General features: G+C 43.3%; 1 protein-coding gene and 2 pseudogenes across 33 annotated transcripts in view, besides 1 other annotated feature; all 3 read left to right on the forward strand.

Annotated features, from left to right (window-relative positions):
- The window catches only part of MTHFD1L (methylenetetrahydrofolate dehydrogenase (NADP+ dependent) 1 like), a 236,186-nt gene that overhangs the window by 53,026 nt on the left and 159,226 nt on the right, over positions 1-23,934 (forward strand). For 30 of the 32 annotated variants that reach the window (NR_146719.2, NR_146720.2, NM_001242767.2 and 27 more), the window contains exons 10-13: positions 3,478-3,575; positions 7,395-7,568; positions 18,077-18,213; positions 19,972-20,018. Coding sequence is in view for 30 of the 32 variants with exons in the window: in NM_001242767.2 (NP_001229696.1) it covers positions 3,478-3,575; positions 7,395-7,568; positions 18,077-18,213; positions 19,972-20,018 (456 nt within the window). In the remaining 2 variants the exon portion in view is untranslated. Of the gene's footprint in view, positions 1-3,477; positions 3,576-7,394; positions 7,569-15,931; positions 17,159-18,076; positions 18,214-19,971; positions 20,019-23,934 lie in introns of those variants that run through there. The other 2 variants (XM_024446396.2, XM_047418618.1) reach the window with 1 other exon arrangement.
- Positions 4,024-4,272: a silencer, noted in NCBI's record as "fragment chr6:151243887-151244135 (GRCh37/hg19 assembly coordinates)". NCBI's record gives its function as "represses an EF-1alpha promoter that drives an FKBP-Casp9 reporter gene in an ReSE screen in HepG2 liver carcinoma cells {active_cell/tissue: HepG2}" and the evidence as "EXISTENCE:reporter gene assay evidence [ECO:0000049][PMID:32094911]".
- Positions 16,051-17,146, forward strand: ARL4AP5 (ARF like GTPase 4A pseudogene 5; annotated as a pseudogene). Its single transcript, NR_199143.1, has one exon. The product of NR_199143.1 is annotated as an ARF like GTPase 4A pseudogene 5 (transcript).
- Positions 20,495-20,601, forward strand: RNU6-302P (RNA, U6 small nuclear 302, pseudogene; annotated as a pseudogene).

The raw sequence follows: 23,934 nt of genomic DNA on the forward strand, positions 1-23,934 counted from the left end.
ACATTTTGCAAGTGGTTTCTGTTTACCAGGTACAGTGTTAAACACTTCACACACAGTGTTAGGCCCATTTGATAAGTGAAGAAATGGTGATTTTGAAAAATGAAGTGAGTTGCCTATGATCACATGGCAGTGTGGGGCAGGGACCCATCCTGGGGACTGTGTATGTTATCTTGTGCTGTGTAATAAATTATCCCAAAATTTAGCAACTGAAGCAACAAGGCATTTATTATCTCACAGTTTCTTCAAGTCAGAGATTTGGTAGTAGATTAGCAGATTAGGTGGTATGTTAGTCCATTCTTGCATTGCTATAAAGAAATACCAGCTACTCAGGAGGCTAAAGCAGGAGGATCGCTTGAACCCAGGAGACAGAGGTTGTGGTGAGCTGAGATTGCACCACTGAACTCCAACCTGGGTGACAGAGGGAGACTGAAAAAAAAAAAAAAGAAATACCTGAGACTGGTTAACTTAGAAAGAAAACAGATTTAATTGGCTCACGGTTCTTTTTTTTCCCCTTGGGACAGAGTCTCACTTTGTCACCCAGGCTGGAGTGCAGTGGTGCGATCTTGGCTCACTGCAACCTCCACCTCCTGGGTTTAAGAGATTCTCATGCCTCAGCCTCCTGAGTAGCCGGGACTGCAGGCACACACCACCACGCCTGGCTAATTTTTTGTATTTTTAGTAGAGACAGGGTTTCACCATGTCGGCCAGGCTGGTCTCAAACTCCTGGCCTCATGTGATCCACCCGCCTTGGCCTCCCAAAGTGCTGGGATTACAGGCATGAGCCACCGCGCCTGACCTGGCTCACAGTTCTGCAGGCCTTACAGGAAGCATAACACAGGCATCTGCTTCTGGAGAGGCCTCACCAAGCTTCCAAGAATGGCAGAAAGTGAAGGGAAAGCAGGCATCTCACAAGGCGGGAACAGGAGCAGAGAGTGAGGGATGGTGCTATATACTTTTAAATGACCAGATCTCATGAGAACTCATTCACTATCACAAGGACGCTACCGAGGGAGATGATGCTAAACCATCATGAGAAACTAGCCCCTGTGATCCCATCACCCTCCACCAGGCCCCACCTCTAACACTGGGGATTACATTTCAAGATGGGATTTGGGCAGGGACACACATCCAAACTATATCAAATTGTTTAGGCTCAGGATCTCTCATGCATTTGAAGTGAAGATGTCAGCTGGGGCTGCAGTCATCTGAGGCATTAACTGGGGCTGGAGGATCTGTTTCCAAGATGGCATACTCACATGGCTGTGGGCATGTGTATTTCATTCCTCACTGGCCATCAGCAGGATGCCTTGGTTCCTCATCATGTCCACCTCTCTGTAGGGCTGCTCACAGTGTGGCAGCTAACTTCCCCCAGTGTGAGCAATCCAAGGGAGGCAACCAGGAGGAGTCTGCAGTGTGGATGACCTGGGCTCTAACCTCATGTGCCGCCACTTCCTTTTATCCTGTTTGTTAGAAGTAGATCACTAAGTCCAGTTCACATTCAAGAGAAGGAGAATTGTCCTCACTTCTTCAAGACAGGAGTATTAAAGTATTTGGAGGCATTTTTTCAAACCACCACCACCTGTGTGACCTAAAGGCGAAGGTCATCAGTGTTCCACCATATAAGCTGAGTGTTCTCATGGTGCTGGAGCCTGCAGCAGTGGTGGCCTCTGGCAGTGACATTTAGTTCATTTCTTTCTTATGTACAGGGTAATACACAATTGAAACTCTTTACCTCAAAATGGGTCATTAGACATTTTTGTAAGGATTATAAGTTACATTTCCATCAAAGCCAAATTTTATTTTTATTTATTTTTATTTCATTTACTTATAATTTATATGCATACATAACACTACTCAGTAGTTCAATTTGCTTGCTCTTTTATACCAACTATGGAAGGATGGTATTTGGAAGCTGGGCATCCAAGCTGATCATTCACGCAGTCCTATATTTTCTTCATTTTTCTTTTCTAAATTGGATGACGAACCTATTCAGTATAAGTTTATCCATGTACATGATGTCTTTTGTGAACACTTAATCTATTTATTTATTTATTTATTTATTTGAGACGGGGTCTCACTGTGTCACCCAGGCTGGAATGCAGTGGCACGATCTCAGCTCACTGCAGCCTCCACCTCCCAGGTTCAAGTGATTCTCCTGCCTCAGCCTCCTGGGTAGCTGGGATTACAGGCACATGCCACCACACCCAGATAATTTTTTTTTTTTTTTTTTTTTTTTTTTTTGAGACAGAGTTTAGCTCTTGTTGCCCAGGCTAGAGTGTAATGTCGCAAACTCGGCTCACTGCAACCTCCATCTCCCGGGCTCAAGTGATTCTCCCGCCTCAGCCTCCTGAGTAGTTGGGATTACAGGCACATGCCACCACCACGCCCGGCTAATTTTTTGTATTTTTTGAGATGGAGTTTTGCTCTTGTTGCCCAGGCTGGGGTGCAATGGCACGATCTCAGCTCACTGCAACCTCCACCTCCCGGGTTCAAGTGATTCTCCTGCCTCAGCCTCCCGAGTAGCTGGGATTACAGGCGTGTGCCACCACACCCAGCTAATTTTGTATTTTTAGTAGAGACGGGGTTTCTCCATGTTGGTCAGGCTGGTCTCGAACTCCCGACCTCAGTTGATCCCGCCTACCTCAGCCTCCCAAAGAGGATTACAGGCGTGAGCCACTGCACCTGGCCTAATTTTTGTATTTTTAGTAGAGACAGGGTTTCACCATGTTGCCCAGGCTGGTCTTGAATTCCTGACCTCAAGTGATCTGCCCACCTCGGCCTCCCAAAGTGCTGGGATTACAGGCATGAGCCACCTCACCTGGCCTATTTATTCATTTATTTTTAAAGAGACAGAATCTCAGCTAGGATGAAGTACAGTGGTGTGATCTTGACTCACTGCAGCCTCAAACTTCTGGGCTCAAACAATCCTCCCACCTCAGCCTCCCGAGTAGCTGGGATTATAGGTGCGCATCACCACACCTGGATTTTTTAATAGTGTATTTTCTCACATTTTCCTGTTTTTCTTTTTAAAATTTAACAAAAACAATGAACATAGTCAGAAGTTCTGGCCTGTGACTTGAAATAACCCTGGATGTACATTTTTAAAAACATTCTCAGATTCATTGCTGTAAGTATGAAGAGCTAATAGTCTGCAAGGGAACTATAGAATTAAGCTGGATCATCAAGTTCATGCATGCATATTTAAGAAACAGAGCAGCTTCTTTTAATACTATCAAACTCTTCAGTGCGATATTGAATAGTTGTATATCTAACTAGTGGTTTTCACGTTTTCCTTTTTAAGAAAAACCTACAAACCTAGTTACACGTGAATAAAAATATTCCTAATATCCTCCTGGCTTATTGTGCGACTCGATAATCTTGTTTTGTAACATCCACAAACAATATTTCCATGGTTTAAGTGTGTGCCCTGTCAGCTTTTACCATTCTAACATGTTTTCCCCTCTATCCCTGCTGAAGAACATGGTCAGTAGTGGAAGGAGATGGCTTCGTGAACAGCAGCACAGGCGGTGGAGACTTCACTGCTTGAAACTTCAGCCTCTCTCCCCTGTGCCAAGGTAACACTGGTGTTTTATTTACACTGATGTCAGCTCAGCACAGTGCCTTAGCCCTAGTTAGTCATGGGGGAGAAGCACAACTCATGGTACTGTGGTTTTGATGGTAGATAAGTTTCTCTATTCATTAAATTGCCACCCTATTTTCTCTATTGTAAATTCTCCAAAATTAAATCATAATGAATGTATTACTGTGTTCTGTCAATTCTAAGAAGGCATATTTTTTTATTTCAATGATGTTTTCTATATTAAATGGCAGTTTTTTAATGATGTTTTAAAATTAATTTATATTAATTTAATTTCAATGATGTTTCCTATATTTAATGGCAGTGTTTTCCCCCCCCACCCTTTTTTTTTTTTTTGAGATGGAGTCTTGCTCTGTTGCCCAGGCTAGAGTGCAATGGTGCGATCTCGGCTCACTGCAACCTCTACCTCCCAGGTTCAAGCGATTCTCCTGCCTCAGCCTCCCGGGTAGCTGAGATTACAGGTGCACGCCACCACACCCAGCTAATTTTTGTATTTTTAGTAGAGATGGGGGTTTCACCATTTTGGCCAGCCGGTCTCAAACTCCTGACCTCAGGTGATCTGCCCACCTTGGCCTCCCAAAGTGCTGGGATTACAGGCGTGAGCGACCACGCCTGGCCTGGCAGTGGTTTTTCTTCTTAGTGGTCCATGAAGTAATGGTTTTAAATTTGACAAAATATGGTAATGTAATATTTGGAATATGCTTTTCAATGTCAGAAATGCCCAACACGTATATATCCGCCTGGTGTTAAGGGCCATATAGGTTTCTACTCTGGGGATAAAGGACCGTCCAAACCAAACATTATTCCACGTGGGAACTGAGCTCAGCTTTCTTCAGAACGATCTGATAGAATAGTCTGTGCTCGTCAAGGTGGATATTTTCCTCAGAGTGCTCTCTGATGAGGTCTGAGCTACATATTCTATCTATAAATTTGGAAATATAAACTGTAGGTCATAGTCTCAGCTTGTGGTTTAGAATGATTGGGTAGGGATGATGTCTGAATCAGACAGCTGCATTTTCCAGCCTGATGATGAGTCATCTGTGTCTGTCCCACTCCAAGGAATTGGCCCCACCCCCATTATCCAGGTGTGCATAATACTAGGTGTGCATCCCCAGGTAATCTCATCCAGCAACGTTGGAATGCACACAGTGCCGAGGAGATAAAATCCCTCTAGTAACTGACACTTTATTTATTTATTTATTTATTTATTTATTTTTTCTTTTTTTTTTTTTTTTTTTTGAGACAGAGTCTTGCTCTGGTCTTGAACTCTTGACCTCAGGTGTTCCACCTGCCTCGGCCTACCAAAGTGCTGGGATTACAAGCATGAGCCACCGCACCGGGGCTGACTCATTTTTTACCTGATAACCAGTTGCTTTATAGAATTGAACTCCATTTCCTTGGACAGTCAGATGAACACCCTGGTTCAGTTCTACCCACTAGGAGGGTGTGACCCTCCTGGACATGTTTTCATCCCTGCAATAGACGAAACATCTCAGTTATGCTCTCTGTTCATTAATTATATAAGTTGCAATGAGGAATGTTATTCTTTGTAATATCATCCCTGGGCTTGTGCAATCTGTTTCATAAAATATCTTATTTTAGAGTTATTTTTGTTGTTATAAGACCTTAGATTTTAAAAGTAAATCAATAATTTCTACTTACAAAGTGCTAAAAAAGATTAAGATAGATTCCACCAAATTGTGTACCAAAGTTTCAAAGTAAATTCTTCTTGTTAAATAATTAAATCCTTTTCTCCCCCAAGAAGAATTTACTTTGAAATCATTGATTTCTAGACCCACTGGGCAAAGAGAAGCAGGCTGAGTAGTTTATAAATCACCCCAAAAATCGGATGATGTCTCTGTGACTAGCTAGTAAAGAGAAAACCTTACAGGTGTTTGTTTTGTTTTGTTTTTGAGACAGAGCCTTGCTCTGTTGCCCAGGCTGGAGTGCAGTGGCTTCATCTCTGCTCATTGTAACCTTCACTTCCTGAGTTCAAGCGAGGACATCTGGCTAATTTTTGTATTTTTAGTAGAGACAGGGTTTCACCATGTTTGCCAGGCTGGTCTTGAACTCCTGACCTCAAGTGATCTGCCCTCCTGTGCTCCCAAAGTGCTGGGCTTACAGGCATGAGCCACCATGCCAGGCCTGTTTTGTTTGCTTGTTTGTTTTTTGAGACAGTCTTATTCTGTTGCCCAGGCTGGAGTGCAGTGGTGCAATCTCAGCTCACCTCAACCTCCGCCTCCCAGGTTCAAGTGATTGTCCTGCCTCGGCCTCCCGAGTAGCTGGGACTACAGGTGCCACCACCACACCTGGCTAATTTGTTTGTATTTTTAGTAGAGACGGGATTTTGCTATGTTGGCCAGGCTGGTCTCAAACTCATGGACTCAAGTGATCCTCCCGCCTTGGCCTCCCAAAGTGCTGGGATTACAGGCGTGAGCCTCTGCAGCCTGCCAAAAGCTTACACATTGTTCAAGATTAAGCTCTTCAATTTAGGAGATTGTGGGAAGAGAGAGACAGAAAAAAACTATGGCCAGGAAGGCAAAACAAAGTAGGAGGCTAGAAAGGAAAGGTCGGATAGGTGGAGGCCTGGAAAGGAATACTCAGCGGTACTTGAGGGGGGTAACCTGAACTCCTAGTTTCTCTGGTGCCCTTTGGAGAAGTCTGGGTGGAGGTGTGTTTGCTGTTGCCTCTTACCCCCGGGTCAGGCCCCTACAGGATCCTGGAGGAGAGTCTAGGGTGGTCTGAACACTGAGGGTAGATTACCTGCAGTAGCTACAGAAACAGTCAGGGCCAAGGGGCTGACTAAAGTCCACTGAGGGGGTTGATCTGCCCACCGCAAGGAGGCAGACCACAACAAAAATAAGTGTTCTGGGGTGAGTGAAGGAATAGCTGTCCTCTCTGATGCAACCTTTAAGGGTAGTCCCCCGCCGCGTGGTCTCCCGGGGTTAGTCTTGCTGCTGGGGGAACAGGTGTGCCTTCCATCTCTCACTCTCAGACACATGAAGGGCCTGACTGCCCAGCAAAGAAATGACTGAGCACATGAGCCCCAGAGGAAAGAGTCCAGCATTACACATGCTGGTATCCAGACCACTCCTGTAAGACGAGCAGTGGTGGCCAGTAAAATAGAAGAGTTCAGTTACGTGCCCAATGACTCTCTGGAGTTCCTACAATTTCCTGTCTGAACTTGGGCTCAGGGCACTAGGTCCTTTTACCGACAGTTATGTAATTAATAAAACATTTTGAAATATGATTTTAGACTGTAAATAGAGAGGGGGAAGTGTGGACACAGATAAAACGAAATAGCATTTCCACATTTTTTCTTTTTTTTTGTACTTAATCTCTAATGTGATAGTAATGTTCACATTTTTGAATAGCCAAGAGAAACATGTGGCCAGCCCGATCGGAGATTATTATGCAATGACCCTCTATTCATCGCTAATGAATACCATGATGGCCCATACAGAGCATTTTGCTCTGTAGTCGAATCACACTTGCAGGAGGGTTTTGGACACATTATAATATGCTGTTCTTGTCTCTATGCCATAGGTGTTATACTTCCACCTGGACACAATTCTAGGATCTTTGTGAGTTTTTTGGAGTTGCATTTCTAAAATGATACACCATTTTCTCATACACGTTAATTATTAGCAGTTGTGCTTATTACTGCCTGGGAGAAAGGACCCCAAAGTAATTGCATTGATTTCATCGTTGGCGTGATGTGTGGCTGTTTTCACTCCAGTTGTGACCACCTAAGCTGAGAAGCCTTTTCTCTCTTTCGTATTGTCTTTCCCCTCAGTGACATTGAGATTTCAAGAGGACAAACTCCAAAAGCTGTGGATGTCCTTGCCAAGGAGATTGGATTGCTTGCAGATGAAATTGAAATCTATGGCAAAAGCAAAGCCAAAGTACGTTTGTCCGTGCTAGAAAGGTTAAAGGATCAAGCAGATGGAAAATACGTCTTAGTTGCTGGGTAAGACACCATCTAACATCTACTTGATCAAGCAGACATATTTACAAAACTCTTCCCTATTTATCTCTCTCCTCGTACCCCTCAATCCATCCTATTCTCACATTTGACATTTCGTCCATTTCATTTGGCATTTCTTTATTTGGTGTGAGATAAGTTTTTATTTTCAGTGCAGAGCAAACTAGTCGACTCTACACAAGATAAAGTCAAACAAGTTGCAGTGCTTTATCTTTTGTTTCTCATATTATGTTGTTATTACCCCTGCTCCTCCTTGACTTTTTGAATTTCATTTTTCATTATAAAAATCAAAATAGGAATTGAAAGTAAACTATTTTGAACTGAGCAGTTTGTTTTGTGCGTTCTACTTGAAATATTTTCGTGGAAAAGGTACAGATAATCATATGAAACATGTTTTCCTGTTAATATCCTTGATCTTACCTACATATTCACATTTCAAAAGCTCATTATTTCCCTTTTTCTGCATTTCAAAACTAATGTTGGGCCATTTTCATTTGTGTTGGTTATTTTATAAAAGACAAATTCATAGTTTTTGTGAAAAGGAGTGTTTGCCTTTTTCCCCTTCTTTTTAAAAAAAGAAGTACATTCACTAGCTGAAAAGATGATAGAAAGCAAGGGATTTCAAATATTTATTCAGTGTGACCTGAGGGAACATCATGAGACCATATAAATTCCTTTGCTGCCTTGAAATTTCATTTCAGTGACTATTGCTTATGATGTATACAAAGCTTCAGGCACAAAACCTATTTGTCAGGCAGAGACATTTCTTGTAATTGGAATTGACTCCTAGGTAACTTTGTTTTTACGTATTTAATTATTAATGTAAGTGCTTTTTTCTTTATTTCTTTTTCTGGTTATAAAAAGAATGTAGTTTCATTGTAGAAATATTCTAAAAATTCAGAAAACAGAAGTGAAAAAGTAAAACATCCCAAACCCAAGCACTCAGAGGAAACAACTGTTGACCTGCGAGGACTGTTTTGACGCTGATAGAGTCTCTCAGCCATGAGGTCACACTCACATGCTATTGTGTAAGCAACCTGATTATTCAAGCATATGTGGCATACTGAGCTCCATGTGAGTGAATATTGAGCTATGTCACCATTTTTCATGACAACATAACATTCCATCACTCACATCCCAGATTCTTTTTTTTTTTTTTTTTTTGAGACAGAGTCTTGCTCTGTTGCCAAGACTGGGGTGCAGTGGTGTGATCTCAGCTCACTGCAAACTCTGCCTCCCGGGTTCAAGCGATTCTCCTGCCTCAGCCTCCCGAGTAGCTGGGATTACAGGCATGCGCCACCATGCCCAGCTAATTTTTGTATTTTTAGTCGAGATGGGGTTTCACCATGTTGGCCAGGCTTTTCTCGAACTCCTGACCTCAAGTGATCCACCCACCTTGGCATCCCAAAGTGCTGGGATTACAGGTGTGAGCCACCGCACCTGGCCACATCCCAGATTCTTAAACATGTTGGGGAAGCAGGGGCTGGGGGAGTAGCAAAATGCCCAGGATGAGGGTGGAGATCCCATCTTACACATCTTCTGGCACCTCTAGTTCCATCAATAAGTGCTACCCTGGTAGTTCTGAGTGTTTCTAATTGTCCAAGTGCACTGATGCAGAAAAATAATTTGAACATAGAATAGGGATGTTCCACAACTTACTTGACCAATTTTCTATTGATGGGCAATCAAAGTGTTCCCAATTTTTGCCATTTTAAACTGCTAGAATTAACAACCTTGGGCATGTGGATTTGTGCATCTGTTTAATTATCTCCTTAGGAAAAATCCCCGGAAGTGAGTTCAATTATTTATAACCACAAATAAAGCAAAAATATTATCCAAAACAGGCCAAGCGCGGTGGCTCACACCTGTAATCCCAGCTCTTTGGGAGGCCGAGGCAGGTGGATCACAAGGTCAGGAGATCGAGACCATCCTGGCTAACATGGTGAAACCCCGTCTCTACTAAAAATACCAAAAAATTAGCCAGGCGTGGTGGCAGGCACCTGTAGTCCCAGCTACTCAGGAGGCTGAGGCAGGAGAATGGCGTGAACCTGGGAGGCGGAGCTTGCGGTGAGCCAAGATCACGCCACTGCACTCCAGCCTAGGTGACAGAGCAAGACTGTCTCAAAAAAAAAAAAAAAAAAAAAAAATCACCTCTTTAATGATATAGTGATTTCTTCAAATCCTTTTTCCCTCCTCCTGTCCCACTTTCCTGTCCTCCTCTTTCTCCTTCTCTTTGTGTAGCTTTTCTTTTTTTTTTTTGAGATGAAGTCACCCAGGCTGGAGTGCACTGGTGCGATTTTGGCTCGCTGCAACCTCTGCCCCCTGGGTTCAAGCAATTCTTGTGCCTCAGCTTCCCAAGTAGCTGGGATTCCAGGCATGCACCCCCACGCCTGGCTAACTGTTTTTGTATTTTTATAGAGACGGGGTTTCGCCACATTAGCCAGGCTGGCCTTGAACTCCTGGCCTCAAGTGGTCCGCCCGCCTCCTCCTTCCAAAGTGCTAGGATTACAGGTGTGAGCCATCATGCCCAGCTTCTGTAGCTTTTTTGTAAGAGGGACAGACAGCCAGGGCCTCTCTGAATCCCTCAGCAGTTGGCATTGTAAGGAATTCATCCTTTGCTCCACACCTTGGTTGCCTGTGGCTTCACCCTTCTCCCGCAGGCTTCCAGGCTCACTGCAGTTAGATTCCTGAGCCCCTTTCCAACCTAGAACCCCAAACTTAATGTCCCCATAATCGAGTGTGGGAAAGTTCCTGGCTGAGGGGAGGGGTTGGCTCCACCTGCAGGCACCCTCTGGGCCCACACCCTGCAAGGAGCTGCCTCTGGTTAGATTGGCTCCGGGGTCTCTGAGTTTAGGGCACAGTTTAGTCAGGGTTGTTTTATGGCAGTATGCTTGATGCATATTTGTCTGCAATTAATAAACAAACTCTTGGCCATTAAGACCTTGAAAAAGCATTTGATTTGTGAAATTGGTTCCTTTCTTCCAGGCTTCAGATGATCTTGGTAGGTGGGTTTGCAGGCTTTCTCACCCTGTTCAGATAGGAACACTTAAGGAAAACTTGGTAGGATGTGTTGTCTGTTTATGAAGGAAGAATCCTGCAGCAGATTTTCTTATCCAGTCCTTGTGCTTTACTCCATTTTGGGCTTGTCAATAAAATCAGAAATCCAGATATGGATGGCTCTGACCTTAGCTTGGAACACAAAACTGATACTTCTAAAACAAAGCTGTGATGATACTGTTTTCAGGTTCCTTACTTGTAAACAAAGCTGGGCCTCCAGCCTCATGCTGGAGAATGCTAGCTAGCACGACTGCCTGGGGTTACAGCCAATGCAGTCCATGGCCAGTAGAACATTTCTCCACGCTGGCTTTTTGCTAGCATTAATATGTATAATCAAGCTGAAATTGGCCTGCCATGTTGTAAATAGAAAAGAAGACTAAAGATGAATTTTCAAGAACAGATTAAACACCAAGGGATCAACAATTCTTTTTCTGAAATTCTAAGTTTCTTTACCTAACAAAGACCTTTGAAGGAACAAAAATTAAATGGCCTGTCTCTTTTTTAACTGTAGTGGAAAAAAATAACCGTGCTGGTAAGATTATGATATATGTATGCATTTGTGGCACAGCTTGAAGATTTTTAGGAAATAGCCACACTGGATTCTATAAGGGAAGAATGAACAGCCCCTTCTCCCCAACACAACAAATGATATATTTTTTAGGGCTGTAAACTGTCATCAGTATCTAATCCCTTAATAGCTGAATATTGATATCAGTTTAGATCACAGGCAACTATTTTATCGATAGCCTAAAGTGGGCCTGGCATGACGGGTTGTGCCTATAACCCAATTACTCTGGAGACTGTGGGTGGATCACTTGAGGCCAGGAGTTCAAGACCAGCCTGAGCTGCATAGCAAGACCCCATCTTTAAAAAATACAAACAAACAGCAAAAAGCAGCACTGGTTTAAAGCAACATTTGTAATCTAAAGTGAAAAGTCAATTTGAAATAAAAATCATCTTCATATTTTTACATTTGACCAGGTCAAGCGTTAGGGGGAAATGACTGTTATCAAACCATTATATGCACTGTTGCAACTTCTTTAAAAATATAAATGACCCCTCCATTAAATGGAGAATTATTTCCTTTTTCTAAAAGTCTTTTCTAATTCTGAAAATAATATTAGCTTATTGTAAAAAATTTAACATAAAGTAAAAAGGAGATAACTAGGTCTCTCATAACTCAATATTTTATTTATATATTCATCTTTTTACACATTGAGATCATGCTATAAATATCATTTTTGTCCTGCCTTTTTCTCTGAACACTGTAACATAAATCTTTTTCCATGCTTTAGAAGAATTCAAATACCCAAGTAATTTTTAAATAATACTAAATAACAATATATTTGTTATTACATATTTTAATTTATATAGAAATGTGATTTAAATATATCAGCAATGGGATTAAAATATAAAACAATGAGATTTTTTTAAATCTTCTATTATTAATAACTCAAATGCAGAACAGATTAATTCTTTTAAAAAGCCATTCTTCAAACTTTAGGATTTCTTATTCAGTCAGAATCATCTGCATTTCATCAACTACATATCGCATGGTATTTACACCTACACATCACTTTATTTGCTTTGCCTGACAAAATGAAAAGTATTGGGAATTGTTCAGGGAAATATGCCAAAAGAATCTTAGGGACTCATGAGTTTTACATATTTTCCCAGTTACACTAATGAAAAGGAATTTTGTTTGAGAACTTGACTTGGAGTGCAGCTGCAGGGCATTTGAATCTCAGTCTCCATCAGGCCTGCACCCATTTCTGTGCAGAAGTTTCTAGAATTTCCCTGAATTGGTTGGACAGAGCAGCTAAAAAAGCAGCCCAAACTGATCTGGGAATAGACTGAATTTCACATTAAAGAAAAATTTGAATCATTCACATCATTTCATCTTTTTTTTTTTTTTTTTTTTTTTCTGCAGAGGGCCAAATACCCGATTGGATTTTTTAAAAATGTTTCAACCCTTTATTTCGGTACAATGTTAAAATAATCTGACTTTTCTATGATTTGGCTTTTCTGCCTTGAGTAACTATTTAAATATCTGTGTGATTTTCTTTTATTTGTGCTACTTCTAGAACAAAACAGAGGTATTTAGAAGAAACCACTTCCCACAGGGCCTTTGAACCGTTTACCTAAGTCAAGTGTAATGAGAAACATAACCAAATGCACCATGGGGTTTATTGTTAGATAATAAAAGGCTTAAAAAGCCCCTAGACCCTAAAGATGCCTGGGATGGATGATTTATGTTCATATGCTACTTGAGCATGTAGTTTTGGAGTGCATGGTGAGGCCCATGGCTAATGGCAGTGGTGCTATTCAACAAGATTCTGGGTCTTTAGAATAGTTCAAAGTTTTACCACTTCTCTCTGGATAAGCCATCTTTTTGACCTTTGAGTAAATTATAAACTTCTTTTCAGATTGTGTCCAAATGGTCACAGGTACTTTGACAGTTTTTACTGTAACTGCCAATAAGTAATACTCATCTTTAAAAAGACATCATTCTGGCAGGGCATGGTGGCTCACGCCTGTAATGCCAGCCCTTTGGGAGGCCGAGGCGGGCGGATCATTTGAGGTCAGGAGTTCGAGACCAGCCTGGCCAACATGGTGAAACCCTGTTTCTATTAAAAATACAAAAATTAGCTGGGCATGGTGATGGGTGCCTGTAATCCCAGCTACTCAAGAGGGTGAGGCAAGAGAATTGCTTGAGCCCGGGAGGTGGAGGTTGCAATGAGCAGAGATCACACCATTGCAGTCCAGCCTGGGCAACAGAGTGAGACTCCATCTCAAAAAAAAAAAAAAAAAAAAAAAAGCATCATTCCATTGTCAACCCTTTTTTGCTGTTCTGTGCCCTGAACAGGTGATGTGATAGCGGTGCAAAGAGGGTGAGCATTGTCCTTTACCTCAACAAGTGTGTGGCCTGGTAGGCGAGACAGGCATGTCAGAATGCTTATCATGAAGCCATCTGAAAAATTCTAGAATAATCATATAATCAATGCTCTAGATATCAGAGAGGGGGTACAGAAATCTGCCGGGAGAAGTGGAGGAATGTAATGAACAAAAATCACAGTTCCATCTCTATGAACTCTAAGCTCCCATAGAAAAAGAAATTAGAGGGCTGGGCGTGGTGGCTCACGCCTGTAATCCCAGCACTTTGGGAGGCTGAGGTGGGCGGATCACAAGGTCAGGAGTTTGAGACCAGCCTGGCCAACAAGGTGAAACCCCGTCTCTACTAAAAATACAAAAATTAGCCAGGTGTGATGACGTGCCTGTAGTCCCAGCTACTCAGGAGGCCGAGGCAGGAGAATTGCTTGAACCTGGGAGGCAGAGATTGCAGTGAGCTGAGATTGTGCCACTGCACTCCAGCCTGGGCAACAAGAGCGAAACTCCATGTGTCTCCAAAAAAAAAAGAGAAAGGAAGAAAGGGAGGAAGAGAGGGAGGGAGGAAGGAAGGAAGGAAGGAAGGAAGGGAGAGAGAGTAATTAGATTACCTTAAGGAAAGAAGGAAGGAAGGAAGGAAGGAAAAGAGAGAAAGAAAGAGAAATTAGATTACCTTGGTGCTCATTCTTTCGTATATCCCCGTTGATGATTTGGAATCTGAGCTAAAGATACTGGGGGGAAAACTAAACCAAATTTTGATACCAAATACAGGAAGGAGGTGAAATAAGCTTTTTTATTGTAGCTCTCCTTTTATTGCTCACAATAAATACTTCCTACTTTGTGATTTTCCCGAACTGTATTAGTTGGCAGAAAGCTGAGCAGTCCTGTGTTTCTAATTAAGAATTGGATGGTTAGCTGGAGTTTTGAGGAGGTCATCTCTGGGCGTGTCTGCTTTTGGCTTTCTTGGGCAGCTATGCTAGCATATCCTTGGGAATGAAAATGTAATCCTTCATGTGACACAGTTTAGGTAAACCACTTAGTCCTTTGCAAACACCAAATGCTCAGTGCGGTACTTAAATGACACCATATTTGATGCCACAGTTTCTTTACAGGCTCTTCTAAGATTGTAATGCCTGTGGGCTTTTAACTGCCCTTATTGATGTTGTATCCAAGAAAACAGAAAGTTGACTCCAAGCAGAAGTATTAATATCTTTGTATAACTTTCAGTCTTCACGTTGACCCCACTGCAGATCTGCTGTTTAGACAGATGCAGAGGTGACTGATAAGCCGGGGTCATGTGGCTTCAGGAGTCTTAGGTTTCTCCATGCAGCGGTGTCAGGATAGGCTCACCAGCTCCTGGCCACAGTGGGTACCAGCGACCTCCTTGTTGCTGAATCCACCGACCACTCTCGGTCCTCATCCTGCTTCCTGCCTCAGTGGCGTTTGACTTTCCTGTTCTGGAAACAGTCTCATCCTTGGCCTCCTTCTGAGACTTCCTGTCATGTTCTGCCTTCTTCTCCAGGGTCCTCTTATTTTTTGTGTTTTTAGAGACAGGGTCTCACTATATTGCCCAGGCTGGTCTCAAACTCCCTAGCTCAAGCAGTCCTTTTACCTTGGCCTCCCAAAGTGCTAGGATTACAAGCATGAACCACTGCACACAGCCGGGTTCTCTTATTTTATACTACGCCTTCTTAGTTTCCTTTTGGACTCTCTTCTTCTGACAACTCATTACAAGCAAATGTGCTTAACTCTTCTGTCCTTATCCCTTTTCTCACTCGGTGCACTGTCCTTGGGTGATCTTACCCATTCCATGCTTTAAATGGCTATAGTTATGATTTCCATCCATGGAGAACCTGGTTAAGTCAGATGGCTGGCTTTGCCTCCCAGCTCTACTGCTTACTAGCTGTGTGACTGTCGGCAAGTTGCTTACACTCTGTGCCTCAGTTTCCTCATCTATCAAGTGAGCGTACAAATAATTAACCCCATAAATATGAAGCATAGCACCTCTCCTATTAACTGCCCCAATCCACTCTCAGTTTTATCTAGTTAACATTTATTAATTTGCCGGGTCTCACCTAAGATGTTACTTCCTACAGGAAACATTCCCAGATGTTCAAATCTAGTTAGATCCTTTTTCCATGTACCCTCATAATTCAGTCTGACTGCCCTATTTCCCTGTCTTAGTGTTTGTCACATTTATCGTAATTGCTGATATATTCAGATCAGCTGGAAGCTCGTGAGGATAGAGATGAAGTCTGACTGGATCATCATTTTGTCCCCAGCGTCTAGCTCAGTGCCTGGTACATAGCAGTACTTGACAAATATTTGCTGAATGAATGACTCATGGAATTGTAGGGTATGATGACGCCTCTAAAGACATTCTTTCTTTGTGGTTACATCCTTAGGTTTTGTAGATCAGAAAACTCTATTAGATTGGTTGTGGTTGAGTATCCTTGACAACATGGCTGACAGTAACTCATGGAAGACCAAACTGTAAACCCTAATGACAGCCTTTAAATTTTTTAACGATGCTTGAGAGCTAAGCTGGAAGGACGTGGGGTGCTTATCCCTCGTAGAAATGCCTGCCAATGCTTTCTCATTTGGACCCAAACTCCAGATCGGGAGCAGTCTTATAGCTGGATCAGCTACCAAGAGAAATTCTAAAGCAAGAAGAGAAAAGCATTTCAATTTGGGACATTTATTTGCACCTGGAAATGGGGAATGGGCTATCAGACCAGACTTCTATCCTGTCCAACCTGCCTTCATTCAGTCCTTCCACATTGTTATTCTGGGTTTGGACTGTGCTGGAAAGACAACTGTCTTATACAGGCTGCAGTTCAATGAATTTGTAAATACCATACCTACCAAAGGATTTAACACTGAGAAAATTAAGGTAAGCTTGGGAAATTCTAAAACAGTCACTTTTCACTTCTGGGATGTAGGTGGTCAGGAGAAATTAAGGCCACTGTGGAAGTCATATACCAGATGCACAGATGGCATTGTATTTGTTGTGGACTCTGTTGATGTCGAAAGGATGGAAGAAGCCAAAACTGAACTTCACAAAATAACTAGGATATCAGAAAATCAAGGAGTCCCTGTACTTATAGTTGCTAACAAACAAGACTTGAGGAACTCATTGTCTCTTTCAGAAATTGAGAAATTGTTAGCAATGGGTGAACTGAGCTCATCAGCTCCTTGGCATTTGTAGCCTACCTGTGCAATCATAGGAGATGGCCTAAAGGAAGGACTTGAGAAACTACATGATATGATCATTAAAAGAAAAATTTTGCGGCAACAGAAAAAGAAAAGATGAATATCAATATCTATTATATCTGTGTGGAGTAGGTTTTCTCTGGTCTGATTTTGACAAATAGAAGAGTGTCTACAGCGTGGTTTGCCTGTCTGCCCTCCTGGATGCTATTAAAGCTTTGTTTTGTTGAACAATCAGATGCCCAACTCTGTTGCCTTGTGGAAGATGAGTAAATGCAGTGCTTCTTAAAGTGGTTTCTTCTCCCTACCCCACACATCTTTTGGTACTACCATTTGGGGAAGCCAAGCAAGGATAGTAAATTGATCAGAACACAGTTGTGGGAATTTGGCCTGAAGTTAGTGAAATAAAACTTTAAAGAGTGGAAAAAAAAAATTTTTAACAATGCTTGTGATGTACTAAAGAACAATTTTATGAGGCCTTACTTGGTAATGTAATAGGCTCTCTTCAATACCTAATACTGTGATGTTATGAACATGGGAACATTTGGTTTTGCAAAGTGTTGTCATCAACAATAAGATTCTCAAGAGCAGAAGTTTCCGCCATAGTATGCACAGGGCCTGTGGACTTTTTGAATATTTGAAGGACTGTCATATGGAAAGGGATCAGGCTTAGTGTGTAGGACTCCAAGAGCTAGGACACAACATGAATGCAGATGCCTTCTCTCTAGAACAAAGAACTTTTGAACTGTAACAGCTGTCTGTAAATGAGTGGGCCACCCCAGAGGTCATGACCTTATCACCATCTGTGTTCAAGCATGGCAGGGAGAAGCCCTGGGCAGGGATATCTGGAAGGAGAAGGACAAGTGGGGACTTTAGGGTCCCTTCTAATCCTGAGAGTCTGGCAGTGCCCTACTCACCCAAGGACCGTTGAGCTAGGCCCTGTCCCCAAACCATAGGCCCTGTGCCCACACCCTGCCCCAATAAATGGCTCAGGAAGAACAACTGCTATATACTCATCAGCAAGAAATGCCCCACCATCAGCTGAATTATTTAAACCATTTTGATGAGTGGTTTTATGGCCTTTCTTGAAACTGATGTTGTTATTAGCACTGCCTAATACCTTTTCCTTTTTTGGTTTCTTGGTAAAGGTGTGTCTGTATCTTGACTTTAGCTTATGCCTGTCCTGTGTGATGTGAGTAGACCATAATAGCCCGAGAAAATTAAATTATGGAGTGCATTTTGAAATGAGCACCCTCAGATTTGATTCTGGTGTCTTCGGCTGGTTTTGCATAGGTTGTCTGGGAAATATTATAAAATTCACTTTCTCCCCCCGAACTCAGGATCACACCCACCCCTCTTGGAGAAGGGAAGAGCACAGTCACCATCGGGCTTGTGCAGGCTCTGACCGCACACCTGAATGTCAACTCCTTTGCCTGCTTGAGGCAGCCTTCCCAAGGACCGACGTTTGGAGTGAAAGGTACTGTCTTTAACAACTAGTGTACTTTTCAGGGCAAAGTTGGGGGGAGAGAATTGTAAAAAGAACATTGTCAACAGATAAAGAGTTAAGACTTTTCAGGGGACTTGGTACATTTCTTCACTGCACACTCAGTACATAGTGGTCGCCCCATGTTGGTTCCCCCGGGCATGAAAAAGAGCAGTGGGAGCCGCCAGGGCTTCACTGGATGCCTCAGGAGCCTGTTCCTGGGGCTGCGTTGCTCAAGGCTCCCGCCTCGAGTGCGGTCTCCCATTTCATCAGGGCCTTCTTTGCCAAGTGATCTTGAAACACGGCCATCCATATCGGTGTTTGATCATCCCAGTCCCGGGGAAAGGTCTTTCCCTCTGCTTTAGTCTCGGCTCATTGGAGTTGCTGTGTGGGGCCCGCAGAGCTCTCTGGAGACGGACTGGCTGTGGACAGCGAGTCGTGATGAAATTCCTCCTTGGCCGTGGTCGGGCTGATATCTGGCACTTCCCCATTCATTACTCTTTCTTCCCTGATTTATCATGAAATCATTCCTTAGCTCACTTTACAGTGGTGGTTATTGCTGCAATTACAGTTTGTCCTTGGCACTTCGTGATTTTTTAAGAATATTGCATTTGTATTACTGTTAAACATATTAATAACGTATCTCATAAAGTACTGATAACGCACAGAGTGTCATGCATCGTGTAGTGGAATGAACACTAGGGTTGGAGCGAGAAAGCCAAGGTTTTGGTCACAGCTGTGTTTCCTACCGCCATGTGACCCTTGGCCACTTGAGCCAGTCACAACCTCTCGGAGCCGCATCTCTAAAAGTCCAAAATGCTGAGAGCGGCACCAGGCTCACCCAGTTGTTGTGAGGATCAAATGAGAAAGCACGTAAAGAACGAGGGCTACTGTCAAATGATACACACATGGGCGGTGTTGTTCTGCTTTAGGAAAGAGCAGTCCTTTTACTCTAACAACCAACATTTTGAGGGATACGCAGCATGACAAATCTCACATACTATTATCTGAAATAAATTGAAGTTTATAATTTACTCATTTGAGGTGGTTATGCGGTGGTTTTTTTGTTTTTGTTTTTGTTTTTGTTTTGAGACAGAGTCTCACTTGGTTGCCCAGGCTGGAATGCAGTGGTGCAATCTCGGCTCACTCCAATCTCCGCCTCCCAGTTTCAAGTGATTCTCCTGCCTCAGCCTCCCAAGTAGCTGGGATTACAGGCACCCGCCACCATGCCTAGCTAATTTTTATATTTTTAATAGAGATAGGGTTTCATCATGTTGGCCAGGCCGGTCTCGAACTCCTGACCTCAAGTGATCCGCCTGCCTCAGCCTCCCAAAGTGCTGGGTTTACAGGCATGAGCCACCTCGCCCAGCCACAGTGTATTTTTTTTAAACAAAGTTTGCTCAGATATGAAATCATATACAATTGATTTAGATAAAGTATAGTCACAGAGATCTAATAATAAATTATCAAAATATTCTCATATCCTGGTATGTTTTACAGTAATGACATCTGCTCTATTTTTACCTTTTTTTTTTAAGCAAAGAAACAGAGGTATAGTTAGACAAAGTGTCAACTTTTTTTGTTGTTGTTCTGCTTGGATATAACCATTAGTGTCTCTCACTGCCTTTTGTTACTTCATCTTGGGTGTGACGCCTCTCTGTTGGGTTTGGGGAGCTGTGTCCCTTGGCCTGTGTCCATCGTGGCAGCTGTACTTGGTGACCCGTTTGAAATGCCTCTTGCTCTGTTGTTTAGGAGGAGCCGCGGGTGGTGGATATGCCCAGGTCATCCCCATGGAGGAGGTAAGACCTTGAAGAGATGCGGGTCAGCTATCACTGTGTTTCCTTCCTGACATCTTGTCTCTGCTCCCATCCACACAGGCCCACAGACCCTCATCCATAATCCCAAAGTCATTAAGGCTCTGAAACCCCAAAATGTTTGCATAACTCATGCAGTGACAAACCCTAGTATTTACTGTGATGAGCTATAATTATATGGATTTTGTACGTGCTACTTGGCGTGAATATTCATATACATTGCTGTGGAAAAATTATTTTTGATTAACAGGTGCTGACCTAGCCCCTGCTTGGGGTGTTTTACAAATAAACTACATGTAAATCACACTGCCTTCCTAAACTTCAAAAAATTCAGAATCTTGAAACCCTGCTGGCCTTGCGGGTCTGGATGAGAGAATGTGGGTCTGTGCCTCCCTTGATCATCTGCTGTACTGCCAAGTTCACGAAGACTTGACGCTTCCCCTCTGTCAATTCAGGCTCTAGTGCGTGCCTCGGCAGCATAGATACTAAAACTGGAATGACACAGAGAGGATTAGCATGGTCCCTGCACGAGGATGACACACAAATTTGTGAAGTGTCCCATTAAAAATAAAAGACCCCAAAATAAAAGAGTTCCAGAGGAAAATGGGCAAAAAGAACTGACGTTGTTAATTCTCACTTCTGTAAGAACTCCACCTTTGTTCCACATAACCTCTTTGTTGCCTGTAACTAACCAGTGACCAGCTCTTTTCAGTTTCACTCTCTGCATCAGCCTTATCATTCAGGGCCTGGACAATCTTCCAAAACCCAAATCTGAGCAGGTCACTTTCCTGTTCTGTCATTTCCGCCGTTGCCTGTCACCCTCCAGCACAGCACAGGAGGTCCTCGTGGGTGGCTGCTCCTGCTTCCCTGTCCACAAGTCCCCACCTGCCTTCTCTCTACTGCGTCAAGCTCCTTGCAGACTCTTTTTTTTTTTTTTTTTTTGAGACAGAGTTTTGCTTTGTTGCTCAGGCTGGAGTGCAGTGGCACAGTCTCGGCTCACTGCAACCTCTGCCTCCCAGGTTCAAGCAATTCTCATGCCTCAGCCTCCTGAGTAGCTGGGATTACAGGCAACTGCCATTGTGCCTGACTGATTTTTTGTATTTTAGTAGAGACGGGGTTTCACCATGTTGGCCAGGCTTGTCTGGAACTCGTGAGCTCAGACAATCCACTGGTCTCAGCCTCCCAAAGTGTTAGGATTACAGGCGTGAGCCACTGTGCCCAGCCCTTGCAGACTCTTTTCCTGTTCTCTCTTGGTTCCAGGATTTTCCCATGCCTGGAACATTCTTCCTTTTCTGTCCTCTTTACCCAGTTTAGTCAAGGTTTTTTGTCAAGGTTCTTCTCTACCCCACAGACTCCCTCTGTGTTTACGGCTATCTGGTTCAGTTGGCTGTGGCGAGTTGCGGGCCTTTCTTGAGGTCTCAGGTCCCAGCATTGAGCAGAGTGCCCAGCACATAGTAGGAACTCACTAGAAAGTACTTGTTGACTTTGTTAAAGGAATAGAAGTGTTTACCCATGGAGGTCTGAGTGTCAGGGAAGCTAAAGAGAAAATCTGTAGGAACTTCAAGTACTGGGAGTGGGGGTGAGAAAGAGTAGTCCAAGGCACTGCTGAAAAAAATCGTCCCAGGCCTCAGGTCAGAATGGGGATGGGTACCATTCATGAGCCAGCAAGACCCAGAACCAGGAGGCCAAATTAGAGGTGGTGTACAAGGGGCATACACAGGGGAATGGCTCGGGTTTAGCCAGCAAATTGGAAGGACATTGGTGTCCCGCTGGTTTAGGGCATCAGCTGCGTGGCTTGGAGGAGAGAGCTACTTTTATTTTATTTTATTTTATTTTTTGAGATGGAGTCTCGCTCTGTCACCCAGGCTGGAGTGCAATGGTGCAATCTCGGCTCGCTGCAACCTCTGCCTCCCAGGTTCAAGTGATTCTCCTGCCTCAGCCTCCCGAGAAGCTGGGATTACAGGCACCTGCCACCATGCCCAGCTAATTTTTATATTTTAATACAGATGGGGTTTCACCATGTTGGTCAGGCCGGTCTTGAACTCCTGACCTCAGGTGACCCACCCACCTCGGTCTTCAAAAGTGCTAGGATTACAGGCGTGAGCCACCGCGCCCAGCCAAGAAGACTACCTTATGAGGGTAGAGTGGGCCAGACACACTCAGGCAATTTGTTCCTTGAAGTTGAGTGCCTCCAGTCTTTTCTTCATCTGTATCCTCCCAGCTCTGAGCACCGTGCCTGACACTTGGTGGATGTTTGTTGACTGTGTGCCAGGCACAGACAATATGTACTGGACGGAACATAATAAATCACCATAGGGGAAAATGTTAGAATAAATTCCAGATGGGCTGAGGAATTGAAAGTGAAAACACTATGACTGGAAGGATGGGAAGGAGCCGGCCTTGTGAAGAATGAGGGAGAGCATTCAGCCAGTGGGAACTGCTGGTGGGAAAGTCCTGAGGCAGGAAAGGGTGTGGCCTGTTCAGGGAACTGGAGGACACCAGGGTGGCTGGAGCCCCGTGGGCCAGCGGGAGTTGGGGGGGTTGAGGTAGAGAAGTGTGCAGGCGCCAGCTCTGTCGAGCGATTGCAATTTGTAGCCAAGAACCTGGATTTTATTTGAAGTGCCAAGGTCAGCCATTGAAGGGATCTTGACAGATAACACAATGCAGATTGAGTTTTATTAAAATCACCCTGTCTTCTGTGTGATGAAAGGACCAGGGGCCTCTCAGTAGACACGATGAATCCAGGAGGAAGACTATGGAAGTAGCCTAGGGAAAGATGTCAGTGACTTGGCCCAGGATGGGGGCAGTGAGGATGGAAAAGAGGAAAAAACAGTTTAAGATTTGTTTGCTGATGTTTGCAGGATTAGATGTTGGGGGTTAGAAAAGAGGAGGATTCAAGGACGACATCCAGGGTACTGGCTTGAGCAACTCAGTAGACTCATTTGTTGAGGCAGAGAACAGGGGAGTGATGGTATGAGGTTTGAACTGTGTGGTGTGGGGTGTGGTGGAGGGTGGTAGTCAGAAGGAGGGAGTCAGTTTAGAGGCCTATGAAACATGCAGGTGGACATCAAGTAGACGGCTGGAAAGAAAAACTTACATTCCAGTTGTGAAATGGCCAAAGAGTTCAATAGAAACATCGAAAAAGAAATATTAACTAAATGCATATTCATCTTCACCAATAATCAAGTAAATAAATCTACATTAAAACCACTATCAGGCCGGGCACGGTGGCTCATGCCTGTAATCCCAGCACTTTGGGAGGCTGAGGCGAGTGGATCACCTGAGGTCAGGAGTTTGAGACCAGCCTGGCCAACATGGGGAAACCCTGTCTCTACTAAAAATACAAAAAGTAGCTGGGCGTGGTGGCAGGCGCCTGTAATCCCAGCTCCTTGGGAGGCGGAGGCAGGAGGATCACTCAAACCTGGGAGGCAGAGGTTGCAGTGAGCCGAGATCATGCCACTGCACTCCAGCCCAGGCAACAAGAGCGAGACTCCGTCTCCAAATAAATAAATAAATAAAAATAAAACCACTATCAGTTACCATTTTACTTGTCAAATTGACAAAATTGGATTTTTCAAAATAGTTATGATACCAAATTTTGGCAAAGAAATTGAAATGGACTCCCACACACTGCTGGAAAGTGTATGTTGATAAAAACACTTCAGGAAGAAGAGTAGAAATACATATTAAGTGTTTTACCGTGCATATCCTTTGGCCCAAATAAATTCATTTTTAGTGTACCCTAAGGAAAAAATGAATGTATGGGAATATAGATCATTTTAAATTAAATATACCCTCACATAGTTTATAACATTAAAAAATGGGGGGATAATAATAGGACATCAGGTTAACTGTATTTTGAAGAATCTTTAATGATGTAAAAATGCTTGCTATGTTGAGA

Source organism: Homo sapiens, chromosome 6 (genome assembly GCF_000001405.40).
Source record: "Homo sapiens chromosome 6, GRCh38.p14 Primary Assembly".
NCBI classification, from domain to species: domain Eukaryota; kingdom Metazoa; phylum Chordata; class Mammalia; order Primates; family Hominidae; genus Homo; species Homo sapiens.